General features: G+C 49.0%; 1 protein-coding gene across 4 annotated transcripts in view, besides 6 other annotated features; it reads left to right on the forward strand.

Annotated features, from left to right (window-relative positions):
* Nucleotides 9,298-9,845: a silencer, noted in NCBI's record as "fragment chr1:16005129-16005676 (GRCh37/hg19 assembly coordinates)". NCBI's record gives its function as "represses an EF-1alpha promoter that drives an FKBP-Casp9 reporter gene in an ReSE screen in phorbol 12-myristate 13-acetate-treated (for megakaryocytic differentiation) K562 erythroleukemia cells {active_cell/tissue: K562(+PMA)}" and the evidence as "EXISTENCE:reporter gene assay evidence [ECO:0000049][PMID:32094911]".
* Nucleotides 10,548-11,048: an enhancer, noted in NCBI's record as "H3K27ac hESC enhancer chr1:16006379-16006879 (GRCh37/hg19 assembly coordinates)". NCBI's record gives its function as "activates a minimal SCP1, AML or CMV promoter by ChIP-STARR-seq in naive H9 embryonic stem cells {active_cell/tissue: H9 hESC(naive)}" and the evidence as "EXISTENCE:reporter gene assay evidence [ECO:0000049][PMID:30033119]".
* The window catches only part of PLEKHM2 (pleckstrin homology and RUN domain containing M2), a 53,264-nt gene continuing 41,197 nt past the window's right edge, over nucleotides 12,170-24,236 (forward strand). For 2 of the 4 annotated variants that reach the window (XM_017000757.1, XM_017000758.1), the window contains exon 1: nucleotides 12,170-12,363. In XM_017000757.1, the coding sequence (XP_016856246.1) occupies nucleotides 12,265-12,363 (99 nt within the window). In that variant the 5' untranslated portion in view covers nucleotides 12,170-12,264. Of the gene's footprint in view, nucleotides 12,364-14,983; nucleotides 15,283-24,236 lie in introns of those variants that run through there. The other 2 variants (NM_015164.4, NM_001410755.1) reach the window with 1 other exon arrangement.
* Nucleotides 14,838-14,917: a silencer, noted in NCBI's record as "silent region_310". NCBI's record gives its function as "represses an Ori minimal core promoter by ATAC-STARR-seq in GM12878 lymphoblastoid cells {active_cell/tissue: GM12878}" and the evidence as "EXISTENCE:reporter gene assay evidence [ECO:0000049][PMID:35858748]".
* Nucleotides 15,008-15,087: a silencer, noted in NCBI's record as "silent region_311". NCBI's record gives its function as "represses an Ori minimal core promoter by ATAC-STARR-seq in GM12878 lymphoblastoid cells {active_cell/tissue: GM12878}" and the evidence as "EXISTENCE:reporter gene assay evidence [ECO:0000049][PMID:35858748]".
* Nucleotides 15,608-15,677: a silencer, noted in NCBI's record as "silent region_312". NCBI's record gives its function as "represses an Ori minimal core promoter by ATAC-STARR-seq in GM12878 lymphoblastoid cells {active_cell/tissue: GM12878}" and the evidence as "EXISTENCE:reporter gene assay evidence [ECO:0000049][PMID:35858748]".
* Nucleotides 15,908-15,967: an enhancer, noted in NCBI's record as "active region_240". NCBI's record gives its function as "activates an Ori minimal core promoter by ATAC-STARR-seq in GM12878 lymphoblastoid cells {active_cell/tissue: GM12878}" and the evidence as "EXISTENCE:reporter gene assay evidence [ECO:0000049][PMID:35858748]".

A 24,236-nucleotide genomic window follows, 5' to 3' on the forward strand; every position in this document is an offset into this window, starting at 1 on the left:
GACCAGCCTGGCCACCACGGCGAAACTCCCATCTCTACTAAAAATGAAAAAGCTGGGCGTGGTGGCATGCACCTGTGGTCCCCACTACTCAGGAGGCTGAGGTGAGAGGATTGTTTGAGTCCAGGAAGCGGAGGTTGCATTGAGCTGAGATGCCACTGCACTCCAGCCTGGGCAACAGCAAGACCCTGTCTCAATTATAATAATAGCAATGGAGTATGGTGGCCAAGACTAGATTCTAGAGCTAGGCTGATTGGGTTTGAGCTTTGCCACTTACTGGTTTATATGACTGGGTAAGTTACCTAACCTTTCTGTGCTTGAGTTTCCTCACCTGTTAAATGGGGACCATCAGAGAGATTATGGGGCTTAAATGAGTTAATCATATGAAGTGCTTAGAATACCTGGCACAAAGTAAGTGCTCATGAGATGTGAGCTGGTATTCATTATGTCACTCAAGGGATTTGAGGATGCTACATGGAATTTCCAGAAGTCAAGTGCTTTGTCTAACAGACTGATGTGGGGGAAGGGCTTTGCCCCATGTAGGTTCCAGGCTACCAGGATTCTGTCTTTTTCAACATGTGGGTTCCAAGATTGCCTTGGACGTCAGCATCCAGCTGGCACACCAGGGAAAGGGGTGTTATGTACCAGGCCTGGAAGTGGTGTGCATGACTTTTCTGCCCACATTCACTGGCTGGAACTCAGTCACATGACCATGCCAGAAGCAAGCGGGGCTGTGAAATAGATGTTCAGGCTGATGAGGGGTACAGCTAGTTGGTTGGCTAAGCAGTCCTCCAATGTTGACTTACACAGACAGAGACAACACATACCTTTTCACCAAAGGAGATGGCCCCAAATCCCACCCCAGGCAATCCATTGACCTCAACGTCCAGAGTTCCCTGATGCCACGTCTTTCAGGTCTTGATTGTGGCCCCTTAAGGTCTGGCAAACTCTGAACTTGGAAATGTTATCTGTTTCTACCCGATAGACAGTGATAGAGCTGGGATAGAATAACTGTAGTAGCAGATCTCAATTGGAAAAGGAAATGGGAAATGGAGGTGTCACTGGCCCCAACAATTAGAAAATCATGCTGAACAGGCTGAGTGTGGTGGCTCACGCCTATAATTCCAGCACTTTGGGAGGCCGAGATGGACGTATCATGAGGTCAGGAGATAAGACCATCCTGGCCAACATGGCAAAACCCCGTCTCTACTAAAAATACAAAAACTAGCTGGGCATGGTGGAGCGTGCCTGTAATTCCAGCTACTTGGGAGGCTGAGGCAGAATTGCTTGAACCCGGGAGTCAGAGGTTGCAGTGAGCCGAGATTGTGCCACTGCACTCCAGCCTGGTGACAGAGTGAGACTCCATCTCAAAAACAAAAACAAAAAAAAATCGTGCTGAACAGACATTGTGAAGAAGTTTATTAAAAATTCTGATTGCCTAGTTTGAAGGAAGTCCCTTGTCCATTGTCCATAGCCCCACCTGAATTGAGTCTGCTCTTGGGAGTTGGCGTGGCCTTCTTAGCTAGCTTACTGCTTGGTGCAAGCCTGGGGATCCGAGGGTTGTCTAAAGCCTTGGAAAAGAGTCAGTGGCTTTTAAAACCTGAGTGTGTGGTTAATTTGGGAAAACAATTTACTTGGTAGACTTCTGATTATTCACTTGCAGCCATTTCTGCATGCCAGTAACCACACTAGCAATTCTTGCCTCTACACAGTTTTCAGGTCTGATTAATTTTGCTTCTCACTTCTAGTTCGTTCTCAGTGACACCTGCCTTGACTTCATCTGAAGTATATTTGAATGGGAAAACCCGAATAGATGATTTTTGCTGCAGGCCTGAGTCTTACTGGGCCTTAGTATTCAAAGCCTGTTTCAAACTTAGCTCTTATCTGGGATCTAAAAGGAAATTTTTTTTTTTTTTTTGAGACGGAGTCTTGCTCTGTCACCCAGGCTGGAGTGCAGTGACATGATCTTGGCTCGCTGCAACCTCAGTCTCCCGAGTTCAAGCGATTCTCCTGCCTCAGCCTCCCAAGCAGCTAGGACTACAGGCACGCGCCACCACACCCAACTAATTTTCGTATTTTTAGTAGAGACAAGGTTTCACCATATTGGCCAGGCTGGTCTCGAACTCCTGACCTCATGATCCACCCGCCTCAGCCTCCCAAAGTGCTGGTATTACAGGCATGAGCCACCACACCCAGCCTATCCTAAAGCTTTCTAAATGATGTGTCTGTGCTTTAAGTGATTAAAAATTAACCATTTTCAGACTCTTAGAGATACCCTAGGGTGTTAACCAGTGTAGAGTCATTACTTTGTGTATAGATTTGTGCCATGGGGCCTTTATTTGAGAGGATTTCTATGTACACAGACAAGGTAGTTTAAACAGGGAGTAGCTTAGACAAATCTCACCTTGTTCTGCTATTCTCACCTGTCTAAAAAGAATTATGAGAACAAAGGCTATTACTAGTTGGAGGTAAGAAATAATTATTCTGTCATTCAGATCTCAATCTTTTGATATTCAGTTCCATTTGAAATGAGATTTCTAGTACTTCACAGAGCTCTTATTTACAGTACAATTATAGTAGGAATTGTGAGACATTAGTTATTAGTGGAAAGAATTAGTGGTCCTTGGCACAGAGAAAGGGGAATTCGCTGCATCTTTATTTTTAAAAAGACTAAAGGTATCAAGAGAATAAATGTATTTGGGGTTTTATGGCAGAAGTCTGTGTCTACAGCTTGGGGGAGGAAAAATCTAAGAAAAGAGAAGTGGGGCCGGGCACAGTTACTCACACCTGTAATCTCAGCACTTTGGGAAGGCTGAGGCAGGAGGATCTGATCACTTCAGCCCAGGGGTTCAAGGCTGCAGTGAGCTATGATGGCGCCACTGCACTCCAGCCTGGGTGACAGAGAGATACCCTCTCTCACAACAACAGAAAAAAAGGCCAGGCGCAGTGGCTCACGCCTATAATCCCAGAACTTTGGGAGGCCGAGGCAAGCAGATCACCTGAGGTCAGGAGTTTGAGAACAGCCTGGCCAACATGGTGAAACCTTGTCTCTACTAAAAATACAAAAATTGGCTGGACACGGTGGCTTATGTCTGTAATCCTAACACTTTGAAAGTCTGAGGTGGGCGGATCACGAGGTCAGGAGCTTGAGACCAACCTGGCCAACATGGTGAAACCCCGTCTCTACTAAAAATACAAAAATTAGCCAGGCGGTGTGGCAGGCGCCTGTAATCCCAGCTACTGGGGAGGCTAAGGCAGCAGAATCACTTGAACCCGGGAGGTGGAGGTTGCAGTGAGCCGAGACTGCGCCATTGCACTGTAGCCTTGGTGACAGAGCGAGACTCTGTCTCAAAATAATAATAATAATTCTCCAAATAAATGCTTCAGGATTTTTTTTTTTTGAGACAGAGCCTCGCCTTGTTGCTGTAGTGCAGTGGTGCAATCTTGGCTCACTGCAACCTGCACATCCCAGGTTCAAGTGATTCTCATGCTTCAGCCTCCCGAGTAGCCAGGACTACAGGTGTGCACCACCGTGCCTGGCTAATTTCCTTTTTTGTTTTTTTTTTCGAGACCGAGTTTCGCTCTTGTTGCCCAGGCTGAAGTGCAATGGCGCGATCTCGACTCACTGCCACCTCCACCTCCCGGGTTCAGGTGATTCTCCTGCCTCAGCCTCCTGAGTAACTGGGATTACAGGCGTCCACCCCGCCCAGCTCATTTTTTGTATTTTTAGTAGAGACAAGAGTTTTACCATGTTGGTCAGGCTGGTCTCAAACTCCTGACCTCAGATGATCCACCTGCCCTGGCCTCCGAAAGTGCTGGGATTACAGGCGTGAGCCACCATGGCCGGCCTAATTTTTTGTGTTTTTAGTAGAGACGGCATTTTGTCACGTTGCCCAGGCTGGTCTCAAACTCCTGCTTCAGGATCTTGATCCCACTTGTTTAAAATTTCCCTTGAAAGCTCTGCTTTTGTCTGCAGCTGACCTGGGCTCAACTGTTTTGCCACTAGCAAGTGGAAAGTTTGCTCGGCTTTAATTTTTTAATCAGAATTCTGTAAGCTGAACCAATTGGGATGTCTGTGGTGTTGGCTGTTGTTTCTGCTGCTAATCGTCAGTCCTCTTCAGTTAGGGCACAAACAAGATGAATTTTTTCTCACAGATTGTTGTGAATGGTCTGCTGCTGCAGGCTTCTCCTTCCACATTGTGTTGTCCGTTATTTTGGTTGGTTGTTTTGAGACAGCCTCGCTCTGTCACCCAGGCTGGAGTGCAGCGGTGCAATCACGGCTCACTGAAGCCTCGACCTCCTAAGCTCAAGTAATCCTCCCACTTCAGCCTCCCCAGTAGCTACAACTACAGGTATGCACCACCACAGCCGCATAATTTTTTTTTGAGATGGAGTTTTGCTCCTGTTGCCCAGACCAGAGTGCAATGGCATGATCTCGGCTCACCGCAACCTCCCCTTCCTGGGTTCAAGCGATTCTCCTGCCTCAGCCTCCTGAGTAGCTGGAATTATAGGCATGTGCCACCACACCTGGCTAATTTTGTATTTTTAGTAGAGACAGGGTTTCTCCATGTTGATCAGGCTGGTCTCGAACTCCTGACCTCAGGTGATCCACCTTCCCCAGCCTCCCAAAGTGCTGGGATTACAGGCGTGAGCCACTACACCCGGCCCCGGCTAATTTATTTTTAATTTTTCCTTGGGACAGGGTCTCACTATGTTGCCCAAGCTGCTCAAACAGTCCTCCTACCTCAGCCTCCCAAAGTGCTGGAGTTAGAGGTGTGAGCCACCATGCCTGGCCTAGTCCCTTCTTAAAAAGAATTGTCCATTTGTAAACTGCTGATTTCTTTGGGGCACTGACCCCATACACTTTTCGTAAAGCATCAGTGATTTCACCATTCTTCCACCCAAGCTTCGCCAGACGTTTGATGTTTGTTCTTGCTTCAGTTTTAGCAGAATTCACGTTGCTCCTATAGGGGCTATTTTCTTTTTATTCTTTTTTCTTTTTTTTGAGATGGAGTGCAATGGCATGATCTCGGCTCACTACAACCTCCACCTCCTGGGTTCAAGCAATTCTCCTGCTTCAGCCTCCTGAGTAGCTGGGACTACAGGCGTGTGCCACCACGCCCACTAATTTTTTGTATTTTTAGTAGAGACAGGGTTTCACCATGTTAATCAGGATGGTCTCGATCTCCTGACCTTGTGATCTGCCCCCATCGGCCTCCCAAAGTGCTGGGATTACGGGCATGAGCCACCACGCCCGGCCAGGGGCTTTTTTCAAATTGATGTCTTACCCTTAGTTCCTCAATCTAGATTGTGTTTGAACATGTTATGACAAGTTAGTATTTTGGTGCAAAAGAAAATTGAAAGCCATGCATATAGTTTTTATATAATATACTTTCCCACAAACTTTTTGAAGTTCTTCCATACATTTAAAAGTAAAAATACAAGGGAATAGAATAAATGTTCAAGAAAAGAACATCATTCTAAATCTCTCAAAATATGTAGCAAGCAGAACATATTGTCATCTTATATAAAAACGCCAAATTGTCACGAGACACTGCTTCCTTGTTTAGAGCTGTTAGTGTTCTAATGGGATTAACCAACTACCAAGCCTTATCTATGGAACCAGTGTGGCTTGGTTCCTTCTAGAACGTTACCAAAGGCCAACATTTTCCCTGCTTGACCCCAGATGTGTGAAAGTGAAGTGCCCTGAGCCAGAAATATTTCATCACCCCCAACCTGCTCTGCTCACAGTCTTCCCCCGAGAAGTAAATGGCTGCTTCATCCTTCCAGTTGCTTGCTTTAAAACCTTGACGCTGGCCAGGCTTGGAGACTCACCCCTGTAATCCCAGCACTTTGGGAGACCGAGGCGGGTGGGTCACCTGCGGTCAGGAGTTTGAGATCAGCCTGGCTAACATGGTGAAAACCTGTTTCTACTAAAAATACAAAAAAATTAGCCAGGCGTGGTGGTGGGCGCCTGTAATCCCAGGTACTCAGGAGGTTGAGGCAGGAGAATCGCTTGAACCCGGGAGGCAGAGGTTGCAGTGAACCAAGATCATGCCATTGCACTCCAGCTTGGGCAAAAAGAGCAAAACTCCATCTCAAAATAAATAAATAAATAAAACTTTGACCCCTCCCTTCACACCCTACCTATATCCAACCATTCCAGAATCCTATCAACTGTACTTCAAAATATATTCGTTATCTGATCATTTTTGTAACCGTGGTCCCAGGCACCATTTCTTCTGCCCGGATTATTGCAACAGGTCTCCCTGCTCCTGCCCTTGGCTACCTGACTACCTACCTGCCTCCCTACTCTGCCTGTCTGCCTCCCTACCTGCCTGCCTGCCTACCTACCTACCTACATACCTACCTGCCTGCCTGCCTACCTACCTACCTACCTATCTGCCTGCCTACCTACCTACCTACCTACCTACTGCCTGCCTACCTACCTATCTGCCTGCCTACCTACCTACATACCTACCTGCCTGCCTGCCTGCCTACCTACCTACCTATCTGCCTACCTACCTACCTATCTGCCTGCCTACCTACCTACCTACCTACCTATCTGCCTGCCTACCTACCTACCTATCTGCCTGCCTACCTACCTACCTACCTACCTATCTGCCTGCCTGCCTGCCTACCTACCTACCTACCTACCTACCTGCCTTCCTGCCTACCTACCTGTCTTGTCCACTCTTAGCACAACAGCCAACATAATTGTGTTGAATCAGATCAGGCCTCTCCTCCAAACCCTTCAGTGGGTTCCTATCTCACTCAAAGTAAAAGCTGAAGTCCTTATAATGCCTCCAAGGCTCCTGTGGCTCTCTCTCCTTCACTTCCTGCTTTCCCACCCTTCAGCTCCGAGCCACCCTGGCCTCGATGGCCTTGAGTAACCCATGCCTGCTCCCATGTCAGGGCCTTGGCACTTGCTATTTCCTTAGCCTGTAATGCTGTTTCCTCAGAGACTTTCCTGACTTTCTCTCTCACTTCTTTCAAGTCTTTACTCAAATAAAATATTTGGTAAATATAAATCAGGTAAATATAAATTTGGTAAATATAAATATAAATAAATTTGGTAAATATAAATATAAATCATACCTTTATACAAGGTCTCGCTCTGTCACCCAGGCTGAAGTACTGTGCGATCACAGCTCCCTGCAGCCTCAAACTCCTGGACTCAAGAGATCCTCCCACCTCAGCCTCCTGAGGAACTGGAACTACAGATCCACACCTCCCAAAGTGTGGGGATTACAGGTGTAATTGATAAATATTTGATAACTTACTTAGGTAAAGTAGCCAGAGAAGACCTCACCAAAGTGATACCAGGTGACAGTATAACACCTTAGTGATATCACCTTAGTGAGGCCTACTTTATTTAAAATTGTAGCTGCTCCTCCTCACCCCACATCACTTCCCTTCTACATTTTTCTCCTTTGCATTGACCACTACCTAACATACTCTGTGTTTCACTTATGTATATTGTTTACTTTCTTTCTCTGCTATTAGAATGTAAGCTCCATGAGGGTAGGGATTGATGTCTGTCCTCAATACCATACCCTCAGTGTCTAGAATTGTGCCTAGTGCAGAGGAGCCACTTCACAGAGCAGGAGCACCGTTGTCTTGGACAAACACCACTTTACGTTCCAGCTCCCTTTCAAACCTCATGCGTCTTAAGGAAATCACTTCTCTTCTAATGACAAGCAGCCAGAAAGAGCAGACAGTAAGCACAGATAAGACAGCTCAGGCACAGAAGGAGGGAGAAAGTCTCGGGTAACCACCCAACTTCACACTCATACAATGAGCCCCAGTAAAACAGTGGGCCCTAATAAGCACATTCCTTTCCCTCTAGGTGCACTAAGATAAGGAAGCTAAAAGCAGACTCAGGGGGTGGGGGGATGCCTGCAGCTGCAGGAAGATGTATGGGAACAGACACACAACTCTCCCTCCCAGGTAAGCAAGACAAAGAGACACAGAAACATTCCGAGCCTGTGATAAGCTCTCCCACCCTGAACTCTTAAATACTCATAGTCTGTAAGAGAAAAGGCTCCTGACCTAAGTTGGCCAGAAGCCCCTCTCAGGTTTATACTCCAAAATAAGCCCATGTTTGACTGTTAAGCCACTTTTCATGTTTCTTTCTTCTTTCTTCAACTCTTACACCACTCAGATATGTTTTGAAAGAACAAATCCAGGAACACCATTTTGCTGCCTCAGTTTCCTGACTTCAAAGGCCCTGAGAGGCTGCCATAAGTGGGGTGACATAGCTAGTGGCAGAAGTGTGCCTGAAACCGAGACAGGTCAGTGAGGCCAGTTGAGAGATTCTAGCCCCAGTGACTGCTGATGCTGAGTTTAATGTAGATTTAAGGCAGATTACATTCAGGGGGGTTAGTATGCTTGCGGACTTCTATGTGAGGTAGGTTTTTTTGTTTTTTTTTTTTTTTTTTTAGACAGCATCTCACTCTATCACCCAGGTTGGAGTGCTGGAGTACAGTGGCACAATCATAGCTCACTGTAATCTTGAAACTCCTCGGCTCAAGCCACCCTCTCACAGCAGCCTCCTAAGTAGCTAGGGCTAGAGGTGCATACCGGCACACCCAGCTAATTTTTAAAAATTTCTTAGAGACAGGATCTTACTATGTTGCCCAGGGTGGACTTGAACTCCTGACCTCAAGCAATGTTCCTGCCTCAGCCTCCCAAAGTACTGGGATTATAAGTGTGAGCCACTGCACCTGGCCCCAGTGAAGTAGTACTTTTTATTATACCCACATATAAGACTAATTTGGGACATTGGCAAACAGTATCTCCCTGCTAATAGTTGTACAGACTTTGATCATAGTACCTCTAGTACCTCACCCATTATCTTCCTAGAATGGAAAGGCTCAAATCAGGTGTATTAGGCCATTCTTTCATTGCTATAAAGAAATACCTGAGACTGGGTAATTTATTTTTATTTTGTTGAGATGGAGTCTTGCTCTGTCACCCAGGCTGGAGTGCAGTGGTGTGATCTTGGCTCACTGAAACCTCCACCTCCTGGGTTCAAGCGAGTCTCCTGCCTCAGCCTCCCAAGTAGCTGGGACTACAGGCATGCACCACCACGCCTGTCTAATTTTTGTATTTTTAGTAGATACAGGGTTTTACCATGTTGGCCATGCTGGTCTCGAATGCCTGACCTCAAGTGATCCACCCGCCTTGGCCTCCCAAAGTGCTAGGATTACAGGTGTGAGCCACCGTGCTCAGTGAGACTGTGTAATTTATAATGAAAAGAGGTTTAATTGGCTCGTGATTCTGCAGGCTGCACAAGCATGGGCCAACATTGCTCAGCTTCTGGGGAGGCCTCAGGGAGCTTTTACTCATGGCAGAAGGTGAAGCAGGAGCAGGCTTATCACATGACAAAAGCAAGAGGAAGTGAGAGAGAGTGGTGGGGAGGTGCCACATACTTTTACATGACTACATCTTGCAAGAATTCACTCACTGTTTTGAGGACAGCACCAAGAGGATGGTGCTCAACCATTCATGAGAACTCCACCCCCATGATCCAGTCACCTCCCATCAGGCCCCACCTCCAACACTGAGGATTCCTTTTATTTATTTATTTATTTTCTTTTTTTTGAGACAGGTCTTGCTCTGCACCCAGGCTGGAATGCAGTGGCGCGATCTCAGCTCACTGCAACCTCCGCCTCCTGGGTTCAAGTGGTTCTCCTGCCTCAGCCTCCGGTGTAGCTGGGATTAAAGCACGTGCACCACACCTGGCTAATTTTTGTATTGTTAGTAAAGATGGGGTTTCACCATGTTGGCCAGGCTGGTCTCGAACTCCTGACCTCAAGTGATCTGCTTGCCTTGGCCTCCCAAAGTGCTGGGATTATAGGAATGAGCCACCGTGCCTGGCCTAAGGATTACATTTTGACATGAGATTTGAAACAAATATCCAAACTGTATCATCAGGTGTAAAGAGAAGCAACCTTACATCTGTCCTTAGTTCTCTCTTTTTTATTTTTTGTCACCCAGGCTGGGGTCTTGAACTCCTGACCTCAGGCAATCCACCCACCTCGGCATCCCAAAGTGCTGGGATTACAAGCGTGAGCCACTGCACCCAGTGTCTTTTGTCCTTTAACTTCCATGGCCAGCTAAAAACTTTATCTGCATTTTAATTAAGTTAAAAATTAATCAGAAAAAAGAAATTAATCAGAAAATTAATCAGAAAAAAAGAAACTGTAGCATAGCCCTTTCTATGCTACAGCTCAAGGCAGCTGTTCTAGGTTGATGGACAGCTCTCTTCCATGCAGTGATTCAGGGAACTAGGGTGTCTATATTTTATATGTCTGACATCCCCTTGGCTTCATTGCACTGGTAGAAGAAGAAACAGCATGGAAGAGGAAATTTGCATAGAATCCCAGCCTAGGAATGGATCACATTTCTCTGTTCATGTTCTATTTGAGAGGATTTGATCATATAGCTGTGCGTGTCACAAAGGAGGCTGGGAAATGTAGTGCAGCACTCTGCCTGGCTACAACCCTATTACTGTGTAAAGAGAGAGAAGATTTTGTTTTTTTGTTGTTTGGCTTTTGTTTTGAGACAGGGTCTTGCTCTGTTGCCTAGGTTGGAGTGCAGTGGTGCAAACATGGCTCACTGCAGCCTCAACCTCCCATGTAGCTGGGATCACAGGAACACATCACCATGCCTGGCTAATTTTTGGATTTTTTGTAGAGATGGGGGGTCTCACTTTGTTGCCCAGGCTGGTCTTGAACTCCTGGGCTCAAGTGATCGTCCCACCTTGGGCTCCCAAAGTGCTGGGATTACAGGCGTGAGCCATCACACGCAGCCAGAGAGAGCAGATTTGGGTGAATAGCTAGAGGCCCTCGGATGCGAACAGACCAGCATGCTTGAGAAACTAAGGTTGGTGGGGCTGGCACACACCAGCGGAGAGTTAGGAGATGAGTCAGGGAGGGAGGCTGGATCAGATCAGCCTTGGAAGCCAGAGAAAAGAGTATGGACTGTATTCTAAATGCTATGACAGTAGGCAGAGGCTGCAGTCAGCTGAGAACACGCCACTGCGCTCCAGCCTGGGTGACAGAGCGAGACTCTGTCTCAGAAAACAACAGGCTGGGCGCGGTGACTCACACCTGTAATCCCAGCACTTTAGGAGGCTGAGGCAGGTGGATCATGAGGTCAAGAGCTCGAGACCAGCCTGGCCAAGATGGTGAAACCCCAACTCTACTAAAAATACAAAAATTAGCCAGGTGCAGTGGCAGGAATCTGTAATCCCAGCTACTTGGGAAACTGAGGCAGGAGACTCACTTGAACCCGGGGGGGGCGGAGGTTGCAGTGAGCCAAGATGGAGCCACTGCACTCCAGCCTGGGCGACAGAGTAAAACTCCATCTCAAAAAACAACAACAACAAAAAATAAGAATAGAATCATTTTTCCTGGGTCACTGATTTGGAAATTAAGGCAAAGTGACTTGCCTGAGGCCCTAGCATGAGTCAGTTGAGGCTTTTAATTCTTGTTGCCTTTTGACTCAGAGTCCCATGCACTTCTCATGAGATCAGAAAAGTCTTGTGCAATAAATGAATGAGCTTCAATTTCCAGCTTAAGTGACTCCCAATAACAAATAAGTATCTTGTGTTTTTCAGAGTCACCCTTTTTTTTTTGGTTTGCTTTTTGGGGTTTTTTAAGAGGTGAAGTCTTGCTCTGTCACCCAGGCTGGAGTGCAGCCACATGAGCTCAAGAGATCCTCCCTCTTCAGCCTCCAAAGCAGCTGAGGCTATAGACATGCACCACCATGCCCGGCTCGCCCTGTGTTTGACACGCAGAACGGATTCCATATTTGAACTCTGGACAAGGAGCAATTAGCTGCACATCAATGCACATTTGGCCTCTCCCTCTTTCCTGCAAGAAGTGTTGTTAGATAACAATGTCTGTTGTACCAGCTCACATACCTATGCAAACCTTAGGAATTTGGTAGACAGTGAGACCTTACATTCCTCTGAATGTTGTAAAATGCTGAATGTGACCATCTCCCAATACATGCAGATAAAAACAATATGGCAGAAATGCCACCACCTTCTTATGTCACAGACCAAGTGGACGCCCCAGGCATACAGCCAAGGAATAAAAATACCCACTGAGTGTACCATGTGCCCAAGCCATGATCAGCCATTCCTAGGGAGGAGGTGCCCAGCAGAACGCAGTGCTCAGCAGAAGATGGCCTGCTATTCAACAGCAGAGAAGAATCCCAAAGCTTGTTGGGTCAGTTTTGGGGGACTGCATTTTCATGAACCAGAGCTGCATCCAGCAGGTTGGGGCCTGTATGCACCCTAGCCAGGATGGAGTGGGAAGGAAGTGCGCAATTCTGACTCCACAAACACCTTTGGTAAGTAGGAGGCTATTTCTACTCATAGATACCTGGCTATTTATTTCCTCATTCAAAGTAATGTGTCCTCTGTCCTCAACCTTTTCTCTACCTATCCAGTGACTGGAGTCTCAACCCTCATCTGTTCTTATTCTGCTCTCTGAATATGAGAGGTAGATAACAACTCCAAAGAGGCTGTTATCTCTTGCTTTCCTGAACTCAGTACAAATAAGAAAACGCCCTGGGCTGGACATGATGGCTCATGCCCGTAATCCCAGCCCTTTGGGAGGCTGAGGTAAGAGGATGGCCTGAGCTCAGGAGTTCAAGACCAGCCTGGGTAACAGAGCGAGGCCCTGTCTCTACAAAAAATAAAATTCGCTGGGCGTATTTTATTCTGTACTCTCAGCTACTGGGGAGGCTGACGTGGGAGGATCCCCCAGGGAGTTCAAGCTACAGTGAGCTATGATCACACCCACCACTGCACTCCAGCCTGGGTGACAGAGTGAGACCCTGTCTTTAAAAAATAATTTAAGGCCAAGGCGGGCAGATCACCTGAGGTCAGGAGTTCAAGACCAGCCTGGCCAACATGGCGAAACCCCGTCTCTACTAAAAATACAAAAAAATTAGCTGGGCGTGGTGGCAGGCGCCCGTAATCCCAGCTACTGGGGAGGCTGAGACAGGAGAATCACTTGAACCTGGGAGGAGGAAGTTGCAGTGAGCTGAAATTGTGCCACCGCACTCCGGCCTGGGTGACAGAGCGAGACTCCGCCTCAAAAAAAAAAAAAAAAATTAGCTGGGCATGGTGTCACATGCACTTGTAGTCCCAGCTACTCGGGAGGCTGAGGCAGGAGAATCGCTTAAAGCTGGGAAGCGGAAGTTGCAGTGAGCAGAGATCGCACCACCGCATTCCAGCCTGGGGAACAGAGCAAGGCTCTGTCTCAAAAACAAACAAAACAAAACAAAACAAAAAAAACAAAAAACAAAGTACCACTATTTTGGGTCTCTCCTTGGGAAACTAAGGGGCTGGGGAGCGACCTTTGGAGGCTTGTGGGGTCCCTCTGAGATAAGCAATGAATCAGTATTTCAGATGCTAAGGGGACTTCAGGGATGGGGTGGCCTGAGCAGAGAAGAGGGAAGACCAGGGAACCAGAGTTGAGAACTGGGGTGTCTGAGAATAAAAAGGAGGGACTAATCTATGTGTCAGGATATATTTATTTGGGAACTTAAGGAGGGAAGAGAGCCAGGTAGGAGACTGACACCTCTAAGTGCAGGGGCTTTATGAGATGGTGGATTTGAGGAGGGTGTGTGGGAAGAGAGTTGTTACGGTGGGTTTCAGGGGCTGAGGGAGTTGAGGCCCTTGGGATACGTGGGGCTGAAGAAGAGGGATAAGGATAAGGAGTGGGAATGGGGCATTGGGGCTGAAGGTGAGGAGGGTGTGTTTTGGGGGTGGGGAGGAACACCAGGGACCTCAAATGTAGGACTGGGCCTTGAGGGTGAGGCACTGAGGAGGGGAGGCTGTGGAGGGCCAGGGGGCCCAGGGAGGGTCTAGGGCTGGGGACTGGAGTCTAGGCTGACCCGGTGGGGGTGCTGGGTCCTCCAGGCTGCGAAAGCCAGGGGGCCTGGGTCTGCACATTGAGGGGGTGGCTGGGCTAAGGAAGGGGAGGAAGATAAGTGGGGCTTGCAGGCTAAGAGGGTCTTGGGGTCCCTGGCCAGAGTTAGTGGGGTGCACTGGGGTCTCCAAGGAGGGGTCTGTGGACTAAAGAGGGCCGGCGGGAGGGGGCCCAGGGTCTGTGGGTGTCTCGAGTCTCTGAGGAGGGCCGGGGTCTCAGGGTCTGTGGGGGTCTCTGGCCTGTGGGGTCGGAGTCTCCAGAGTCCTTGGGGCCTGTGGGAGTCTCTGGGGTTTTGTGGGGGGATCCTGTGGGCTGAGGAGGGCTGTGGGGAGGGTCTCAGGGTCTCTGGGGAGGGCCAGTGCCTCGGGGTCTTTGGGGGTCTCTGAGGAGGGCTGGGGGCCCAGGGTCTGTGGGGGTCCCCAGCAGGTGGGGTTGGGGTCTCCGGAGTCCCTGGAGTCTGAGGGTGTCTCTGAGGTCCCAGGGGGGAGTCTATGGCCTGAGGGCTGAGGGGGAGGGTCTCCAGGGTCTCTGAGGAGGGCCGGTGTCCCGGGCAGGCGGGGTCGGGGTCTCCGGAGTTCCTGGGGTCTGAGGGTGTCTCTGGGGTCCCTGAGGGAATCTGTGGGCTGACGAGGCCTGGGGGAGGGTCTCCGAGGAGGGCCGGGGTCCCAGGGTCTGTGGGGGTCTCTGGCAGGCGGGGTCGGGGTGTCCGGAGTCCCTGGGGTCTGAGGGTGTCTCTGGGGTCCCTGAAGGAATCTGTGGGCTGAGGAGGGCTTGGGGAGGGTCTCTGAGGAGCCCCGAGGTCCCCGGCAGGCGGGGTCGAGGTCTCTGGCGTCCCTGGGGTCTGAGGGTGTCTCTGGGGTGCCGGGGAGAGTCTGTGACTTGAGGAGGGCTGGGGGCGGGTCTCGGGGTCTCTGGGGAGGGCCGCGGCCAAGGGTCTGTGCGGGTCTCCGGGTCCCCGGAGTCCCCAGGCGCAGGCGGGCCCTGGCGCCGCCCCGCCTGACATCAGTTCCTGCCGCCGCCGCCGCCGCGGCGCACAGCCCGCGGCCTCCTTCCCCGCCGGCCGCGCTCCGGAGCCTCCGGGCCGCGGTGGAGCGAGGGCCCAGGCGAGGCGAGGGCCGGGCGGCGGGCGCCGGGCCCCGCGGCCGGCACGACGGAGCCCCCGTACGGCCGGCGGCAGCGGTTGGCGGCGGCCCCCGGCCCCCGGCGCGGGAAGCGGCGGCGGGGCGGCGGCGGCGGTGGCGGTGGCGGTGGCGGCGACGGTGGCAGCGCCATGGAGCCGGGGGAGGTGAAGGACCGGATCCTGGAGAACATCTCGCTGTCGGTGAAGAAGGTGAGCGCGGCCTCCCTCCCGGCCGGGGCCCCTTCCTCGCCGCGCCCCCCACGCCCTCCGGCGGCGCTCTCCCGGGCCGGGGCCCCCCGCCCTTCCCCTCCGCGACCCGGGGGGCGACGAGCGGCCGGGAGCCCCGGGCCGGTAGAGGGGAAGCGGCGCCGCTCACGTGAGCGCCGCGGCCTCGGAGCTATTTTTAAAGAACAAAGTTGAGGTCAGCATCCTCGGAGCTTCCCCAAACCTGGCCCGGGGCCCTGCCCTCCCGGAGAGGGGTCAGCGACCCTCCGGTCCCCCACTGGGGCAGCGGCGCCCCCGGGAGCTCCTGAAGGAACCCCATGCAGCCTCCTGTGGAATCCGCTGCATCCCCGGGTCCCCCCGCCAGGCTGGCGTCGCCCAGGGTCTGGCAGTCAGGGTGGAGGCCAGTGATAAGCAACTTCACTTTCCCATGGCCTGGGTCCCGGCGACATTGCCTCTGCTCCTGGGAAGTCCCCTGAATAATCTTGCTCAAGGATGGTAGCTTTGAAGAGGTTCACTAGGGGCTTTGATTATAAGAACCTGAAGTACATGGGGATTGCATTTTGGATGCTGATCCGGGGAACCGGGTGACACCACAGACACCTTGCTGTGGGGCTTGCCGCAGTAAACATCACTGTCCCAATTCCAGGTAGAAATGAGTACATACCTGTCAAGGGCATGTATTTGTGATGAAGTTGGCATATCCGCAAAAGGGTCCGTGCTAGAAGGTAGAATCCATATTCTGACGTTTTTGGGCTGGATATAAAAATAATAATAATAAATTTAAAAGAATCCATATTCACTGAAAACCTAAATGGCCAAATCAGAATGGATTTTTCTCTCTCTCTCCCTCTCTGTGTGTGTGTTTGTGTAATTTGAATTCCTGGCTCACCAGATAGTCTCAGAAACTGAAAAAAAAAAAAAAAAAAAGAAAGAAAGAAAGAAAAAAGAGAAAGAAAATGGCTTGGGTGAGGGACTCAGCAGCTTATTTTACTTGAAGAAGCAAAATGGATAGAATTAATTAGATCAACCATCATATTTAAATAATTGTCTGTTTTCCCACTGAGATTCCTCAAAAGCAACACAGGCAAGCTATTTTACCTTTCATAAAGATAAATGTGACTTAAAAAGAAAATAGATTCTCGAATTGCCCTTACTGAAAACATTCCTCTAAAAGCACAGCTAAAGTAACATTGCAGAGATCCAACAAGAGTTTTACGTAGTTTTACTGAGCTTTGCTAATGTAATGGGGTATGGTTTTTGCTTACTCAAGGAGGGCAGGATGAGCAAATACTTTGTTGAGAAGCAGTACATCTTTCCTAATGGAAGAGAAAGGAACACAGGTGACCTTTCTAATCTAATCTGGGCTGATTGTGGCTTTAGGTAGGCCCGGCGTTTGTCTTTGGATTTCAAACAAATGAATGGAGAAAGTCTGTGATGGAGAGGCAGTAGACATGGGGCACGCTGTCACATGTATAAGCATGAGTCTTTTGAAGGCAGAGATTCACTTTGTAAGTCAGGCTGTCACTTATGAGTTAGGTGTGTTTGTTGAGGTGCATATAATTGTAGGTGTTTGGACAAGGACACTTATTGAGCTGGAATGCACCCCAGAAAATGTCACACTAGAAACTGCAAACCCATCCCTGGGTGTATCACAACCAAAGCCATGGGCAGCATCATTGTTAGGAGCATGGATTCTGGAGTCCAGCTGCCTGATTGAATCCCCGCCCTGCCAAATTAATAACCCTGTAACCTTGGTCAGGCTTATTAACCTCTCCATGCCCAGTTTCTTCATCTGTAAAGCAGGGATAAAATTAGGGATGTTGTGGAGTGTTTTTTTGTTGTTGTTGTTGTTGTTGTTTGTTTTTGAGACAGAGTCTTGCTCTGTTGCCTGGGCTGGAGGGCAGTGGTGTGATCTCGGCTCACTACAACCTCCACCTCCCAGGTTCAAGCGATTCTTCTGCCTCGGCCTCTCGAGTAGCTGGGATTACAGGTGTGCGCCACCACACCCGGCTAAATTTTTTTTTTTTTTTTTTGAGACGGAGTCTCGCTCTGTCGCCCAGGTTAGAATGCAGTGGCCTGATCTCCGCTCAGTGCAAGCTCCGCCTCATGGGTTCACACCATTCTCCTGCCTCAGCCTCCCAAGTAGCTGGGACTATAAGCGCCGGCCACCACGCCCGGCTAATTTTTTTGTATTTTTAGTAGAGACGGGGTTTCACCATGTTAACCAGGGATGGTCTCGATCTCCTCACCTTGTGATCTGCCCGCTTCGGCCTCCCAAAGTGCTGGGATTACAGGCGTGAGCCACGGCGCCCAGCGTCTAATTTTTGTATTTTTAGTGGAGATGGGGTTTCCCCATGTTGGCCAGGCTGGTCTTGAACTCCTGACCTCAAGTGATCTGCCTGCCTTGGCCCCCCGAAGTGCTGGGATTACAGGCATGAGCCACCGTGCCCGACTACTTTTTGTATTTTTTGTAGAGATGGGATTTCGCCCATATTGGTCAGGCTGTGTTATGAAGATTTTGTTTGTTTGTTTTTTGTTTTTTGTTTTTTTTGAGATGGAGTCTTGCTCTGTCACCCAGGCTGGAGTGCAGTGGCGTGATCTCAGCTCGCTGCAAGCTCCGTCTCTCAGGTTCACGCCATTCTCCTGCCTCAGCCTCCCGAGTAGCTGGGACTACAGGTTACAGGCGCCCGCCACTATGCCCGGCTAATTTTTTTGTATTTTTAGTAGAGACGGGGTTTCACCGTGTTAGCCAGGATGGTCTCGATCTCCTGACCTCATGATCCGCTCACCTCGGCCTCCCAAAGTGCTGGGATTACAGGCATGGTGAAGTTTTAATAAACATGTAGAGTGTTTAGCATGGATCCTGGCCCAGTCTTAACTGGTAGCTTTTTTCTTTGTGCAAGAGCCCATTCCTCAATTTTACAAGGTTTGAAGATGGCTCAACTGCCTCACCACCTAAAGGTCGTTCTACAACACCATTTGTTCTTGGTAGCCACTTCCTTTGTGTGTTTGTTTGAGACAACTGCGATGTGATTCTTGCATCATAAATTACATTTGGTTTTCTGAATCAGAGTGTCTGCTTTACTAGGAACCTGTTAGTTTGGCTACAGCAGTAGACATTGAGGACAGCAGTCTTGGGGTCAGATTTGTCCTTGAATGCCAGTCTCACCTAAATGTGTTATATAGCACCTTGAGAGTTGCTTTGCCTTTTTTCTTGCATCCTACCACCAGTAAATGGTCTTACTGGTCATTTTATAAGGATTTTACGTGAAGAAAATGAGATGCATATTTCTGCAAGGAAAGATCCATTGTGTATTTCTATATTTGCAAAGAGTACTTTAGAACTTTTTATGAAAATGAAGCATGCCTACAGGAAAGTGTACAGGTCCTGAGCGGACAGCTTAATGAGTTCTCACAAAGTGAAAACACCTGCATATCCAGCACCCTGACCAAGAAACAGAACATGACCATTATCCCAGAGGGCCCCTCGTTCCCCTCCCAGAAACTACACCCTCAAAGCAACCACTATCCCCAAGGAGTATTGTTGAGTTCAACTATTTTCACACTTAGATTTTGTGATGGTGAATACCCATTATAACACCAGACAGGTGAAACAGCTGTTAATCCATCTGAATCCAAGGCAACCTGTGTTCTGATATGGACACAGAATTCCTGAGGGTGAGAGAGAACTGGAGAGTTTAATAATTAACATGATTAAATGAAAATGATAACAATAGGCCAGGCATGGTGGCTCACGCCTGTAATCCCAGCACTTTGGGAGGCCAAGGTGGATGGATAACTTGAGGCCAGAAGTTCAAGACCAGCCTTGCCAACATGGTGAAACCCCATCTCTACCAAAAATACAGAAATTAGCTGGGTGTGGTGGCGCGTGCCTGTAGTCCCAGCTACTTGGGAGGCTGAGGCAGGGAAGCACTTGACCTGGGAGGTGGAGGTTGCAGTGAACTGAGATCGCGCCATTGCACTCCAGCGTGGGTGACAGAGGGAGACTCTGTCTCAAAAAAAAAAAAAAAAAAGGAAATGATAACAATAGCAAATTCAATTCATATTCAATTCTAGAAAGGGAGCTAGTAGCAGAAACATCCCAGATGCTGCCAGTAAAGCCTGTGGTTGCCGATTTGTTAAAGAGAAATGTCCAAGTCAACGACAGCTTTGGCATTTTTGAATCAGCATGTGGTTCTACTAAATAACATCTTCTCCAGGGGAGGGAAGGCAGGCAGTGATTTTCCCAAGTTCTGTTTTTGAGGAGCTGGTGTGTCTGCTGCATATGCCTGCAGAATGAGCAAAGACTATATGCCATAAGAAGCAACCTCCTGGCCAGGCGCGGTGGCTCATGCCTGTAACCCCAACACTTTGGGAGGCCGAGGCGGGCGGATCACCTGAGGTCAGGAGATCGAGACCGGCCTGACCAACATCGAGAAACCCCATCTCTATTAAAAATACAAAATTAGCTAGGTGTGGTGGTGCATACCTGTAATCCCAGCTACTCGGGAGGCTGAGGCAGGAGAATCGCTTAAACTCGGGAGGCGGAGGTTGTGGTGAGTTGTGGCACCATTGCACTCCAGCCTGGGCAAAAAGAGCGAAACTCCGTCTCAAAAAAAAAAAAAAAAGAAAGAAAGAAATACTGGTAGAGTTCAGAGAAAGAGAAGAAGCAGGCATTCAAGACAGAAGAAACAGCCTAGGCATCCCCAAGGAAGTGGGGCCTTCCAGATGGTCTTCCGAGGACAGGCGTGACCTGTCTTAAGAGGGACCTGTCTTAAGATTGCCAAGGGTTCTGCAAGATGCGGCTGGAAGGTGCTTTCTGTGGAAGCCATGTAGCCTAGTGGACACAAACGCAGGCTTCAGCGGTATGCAGACTTGGGTCTGGGTTTGTAACTGACCATCTCGATCCTGGCAGATGACTGGACCACTGTTCGCATCAGCAGTGAGAACCTTCTACTAATGCTATAATGATAATTCAATTATATGAGAGAACACACTTACAGCACTTAGCACAATACCTTGCTTACAGTCAGGCCTAAATAAAAGCCACCATTACTACTTGCAAGCGTCTCTGTGGACTCTGCAGATCACCCTTGTGCAGTCTTCAGTGAGTGGTGGTGTTTTTTGTGTTTTTGTTTTTGAGACGGAATTTCGCTCTTGTTGCCCAGGCTGGAGTGCAGTGGCACGATCTCAGCTCACTGCAACCTCCGCCTCCCAAGTTCAAGTGATTCTCGAGCCTCAGCCTCCCAAGTAGCTGGGATTACAGGCATGAGCCACTACGCCTGGCTAATTTTGTATTTTTAGTAGAGACAGGGTTTCGCCATGTTGGCCAGGCTGGCCTCAAACTCCCTACCTCAGGTGATCTGCCTGCTTCGGCCTCCCAAAGTGCTGGGATTACAGGTGTGAGCCACCGCACCCAGCCGAGGTTTTTTTTTTTTTTGTTTTGTTTTTTTGAGACAGTCTTGCTCTGTCACCCAGACTGGAGTGCAGTGGCATGATCTTGGTTCACTGCAACCCCCTCCTCCTGGGTTCAAGCAATTCTCGTGCCTCAACCTCCAAGTAGCTGGGATTACGGGCACAGACCACCACGCCCTGCTAATTTTTGTATTTTTAGTAGAGACAGGGTTTCACCATGTTGGCCAGGCTGGTCTCAAACTCCTGGTTTCCAGTAATACACCCACCTTGGCCTCCCAAAGTACAGTCGTGAGCCACTGCCTCCGGCTTCAGTGAGAGTCTTATACTACACTGCTGTTTCTTCAAGCTCCAACTTTTTCTTAAAAGGCCACATGGCAAATATTTTCAGGCCGTATAGTCTTTGTTGAAACTGCTCAGTTCTGCTCAAAAGCAACCAAATGTGTATGAGTGTGGCTTTGTTCCAATAAAACTTTATTTACAAAAATAGGTATCAGGCTGGTTTTAGCCCACAGGCAGTAGTTCGCATACGACGCATGTGTTCATATGAAAAAGTCCTTGCCAAGGTAGGCCAGGGATTACTTCCAGAGAAGTTGGTGCACCAGTGCTATAGTTAACCAAATCTCTATTGTAGCTGTGTTTTTGCACATTAGGCTTGTGGAGTGAATGTGGACACTTGTAAATCCCATCATGTGTCCCTGTATTCAGTTATTCAAAACTATTTAGTGAGCACCTTCCCTAGAACCTCACCATCATAGGCCCTAGGAAGGTTCATATGAACAGGCAGATGAGTATCTGCCCTCATGGAGCTGACATTCTAGAAGAAAAAGAAGGTGATAAATTCGTAGACAAATACAGAGATGATTTCAGATCATGGTAAGCATTATGAAGGCATTAAAGCAATGTGATAAAGAATTGGCAGGGAGGTTTGCTTTGGAGACGATCAGGGAAGATTCCCTAAGGCAATGACATTGCATCCTGCAAGGGACACTGAGTAGGATAAGAGAATGAAAAATGATTCTTTTTGTGTGTGTGTTTGTTTGAGACAGGGTTTCACTCTGTGGCCCAGGCTGGAGTACAGTGGCACCATCATGGCTCACTGTAGCCTTCAACTCCTGGGATCAAGCGATTCTCCCGCCTCAGCCACCTGAGTAGCTGGAACTACAGACATATGCCACCACGTCCAGCTAATTTTTAATTTTTTAGTGTGGAGACAAGGTCTCACTATGTTGCCCAGGTTGGTCTCGAACTCCTGAGCTCAGGTGATCCTCCCACCTCGGCCTGCATAAGTGCTAAGATTACAGGCATGAGCCACTGCACTTGGCCGTAAAATTATTCTAAGAAAATAGTTGTTTTTAAAAACACACAAATAGCTCAGAAGTACATAAAATGAAAAGTAATTGCCCCTGTTCTCCTACCCTTTAAAAGGGATAAATGAATTGTAATAGGGTAACCATCTCTCAGTTCCTGGGTCCTGACAACCTTCTCTCGCCTCAGTCTCCCACCCACTTCGGTTTGGGCAGACAGTGCCTCACCGGCGTCGGCTCTGAGTGAAGTTCTATTTCTGGCCAGGCACACTGCCTTGAGCAGGAGTCTCCCAGTCCCTAGTCGGGATCGGGATTTACTGGCGCTGGTGAATGAGCCACAGCTGTTGTTCAGCCCAGCCTGTCTGTGCAGTTGAAAAGGCTGCCTTGCATGGTGAACTTTTTCTCATTTTTCTACTCCTGAGATAGGTTAGATCTGCAAGTACAAAAAAATTAGCTGGGGGCGGGGAGGCGAGGCAGTGGGCATAGTGGCTCACAACTATAATCCCAGCACTTTGCGGGGCTGAGGTGGGAGGATCACTTGAGTCCAGGAATTCAAGACCAGCCTGTGCAACATAATGAGACCCTGTGTCTTCAAAAATAAAAATAAAAAATTAGGTGGACATGGTGGCACATGCCTATAGTCCCAGCTACTCAGGAGGCTGAGGCAGGAGGGTCACTTGAGCCCAGAAGTTCGAGGCTGCAGTGAGCCAGGATCATGCCATTACACTCCAGCCTGGGTGACAGAGTGAGACCCTGTCTCGGCGGGGGAAAAAAAAAATTAGCTGGGGTAGCTCATTCCTGGAGAGGGACTGGTAGGTAGGTAGATGTAAAAATTGTATTGACTATTTGGTTTAGATCAATAGTTTTGTTCTCTGTGGCTTTACAGAAAAACTCATAAGAGTTTTAAATGTTCTCAAAATCCCTAAGGACCTGAGTCACCAGGACAAAGATTTACATAAAATAGTATCTACACACACGTTACAAACTGAAGTGTTAAGGGTCAGTGTGCCTTCTGCCTGCTCCTCTTCCTCCTTTTCCTAAATTCTCAGTAGCTATTTCCCTTCTTTCCTCTCTCCCAGAGTAAAGGCTGTCTGGTGAGGGCGGGGAGGGACCTGAAGGTCCCTAACCCGGAAACCATGTCGTGCACAGAGGGATCCTGACCCCATGAGTAACTCCACCCAGGCTCAGGAGGAGATACTAGTGGAGAAGTGATAACTGCTTTTTCTGAGCCCTGCCCATTCACTTTTTTCGTTTTTTGGTTTTTTTGTAGAGACTGAGTCTCCCTGTGTTGCTAAGGCTGGTCTTGAACTCCTGGCCTCAAGCCTTCCTCTCACTCCAGCCTCCCAAAGTGTGGGGTTACAGGTGCAAGCCACTGTGTCCATGCCCCATTCACTTTTTCTTTTTTTAATGGAGTTTTGCTCTTGTTACTCAGGCTGGAGCACGGTGGCACGATCTCGGCTCACTGCAACCTCCTTCTCCCTGGTTCAAGTGATTCTCCTGCCTCAGCCTCCCAAGTAGCTGGGATTATAGGCATGCACCACCATGCCCAGATAATTTTGTATTTTTAGTAGAGATGGGGTTTCACCATGTTGGTCAGGCTGGTCTTGAACTCCTGACCTCAAGTGATCCACCTGCCTTGGCCTCCCAAAGTGCTGGGATTATAGGCGCGAGCCACCGTGCCTAGCCACACTTTTTTTTTTTTTTTTGAGACAAAGTCTCTCTCCGTTGCCCAGGCTGTAGGGCAGTGGCGCAATCTCGGCTCACTGCAACCTCCACCTCCTGGGTTCAAGAGATTCTCCTGCCTCAGCCTCCTGAGTAGCTAGGATTACAGGTGCCCACCACCACACCTGGCTAATTTGTGTATTTTTAGTAGGGATGGGGTTTCACCATGTTGGTCAGGCTGGTCTTGAACTCCTGGTCTCAAGTGATCCGCCCGCCTTGGCCTCCCAAAGTGCTGGGATTACAGGCATGAGCCATCTCACCCGGACCCATGCCCGTTCACTTTTAAGATATGGTTCTCCTTTTACGAAATGCTTCTCTGACGTCAGGTTTCTGTTGGAAACCTTGTGACACTGTGTGGTCCTTTCCATCCCATCACAGAACAACCTGGGCTCGCTCTCTCCATGGTTTGGCCATGGCTTAGGCCTATCCAGATTGAAAGGCCCTGTGTGATGATTTGAGGCCAGGCAGAAACTCACTGGGGTTTAACAGAAACAGGTC

The sequence above is a fragment of the Homo sapiens genome, chromosome 1 (genome assembly GCF_000001405.40).
Source record: "Homo sapiens chromosome 1, GRCh38.p14 Primary Assembly".
Classification (NCBI taxonomy): Eukaryota; Metazoa; Chordata; class Mammalia; order Primates; family Hominidae; genus Homo; species Homo sapiens.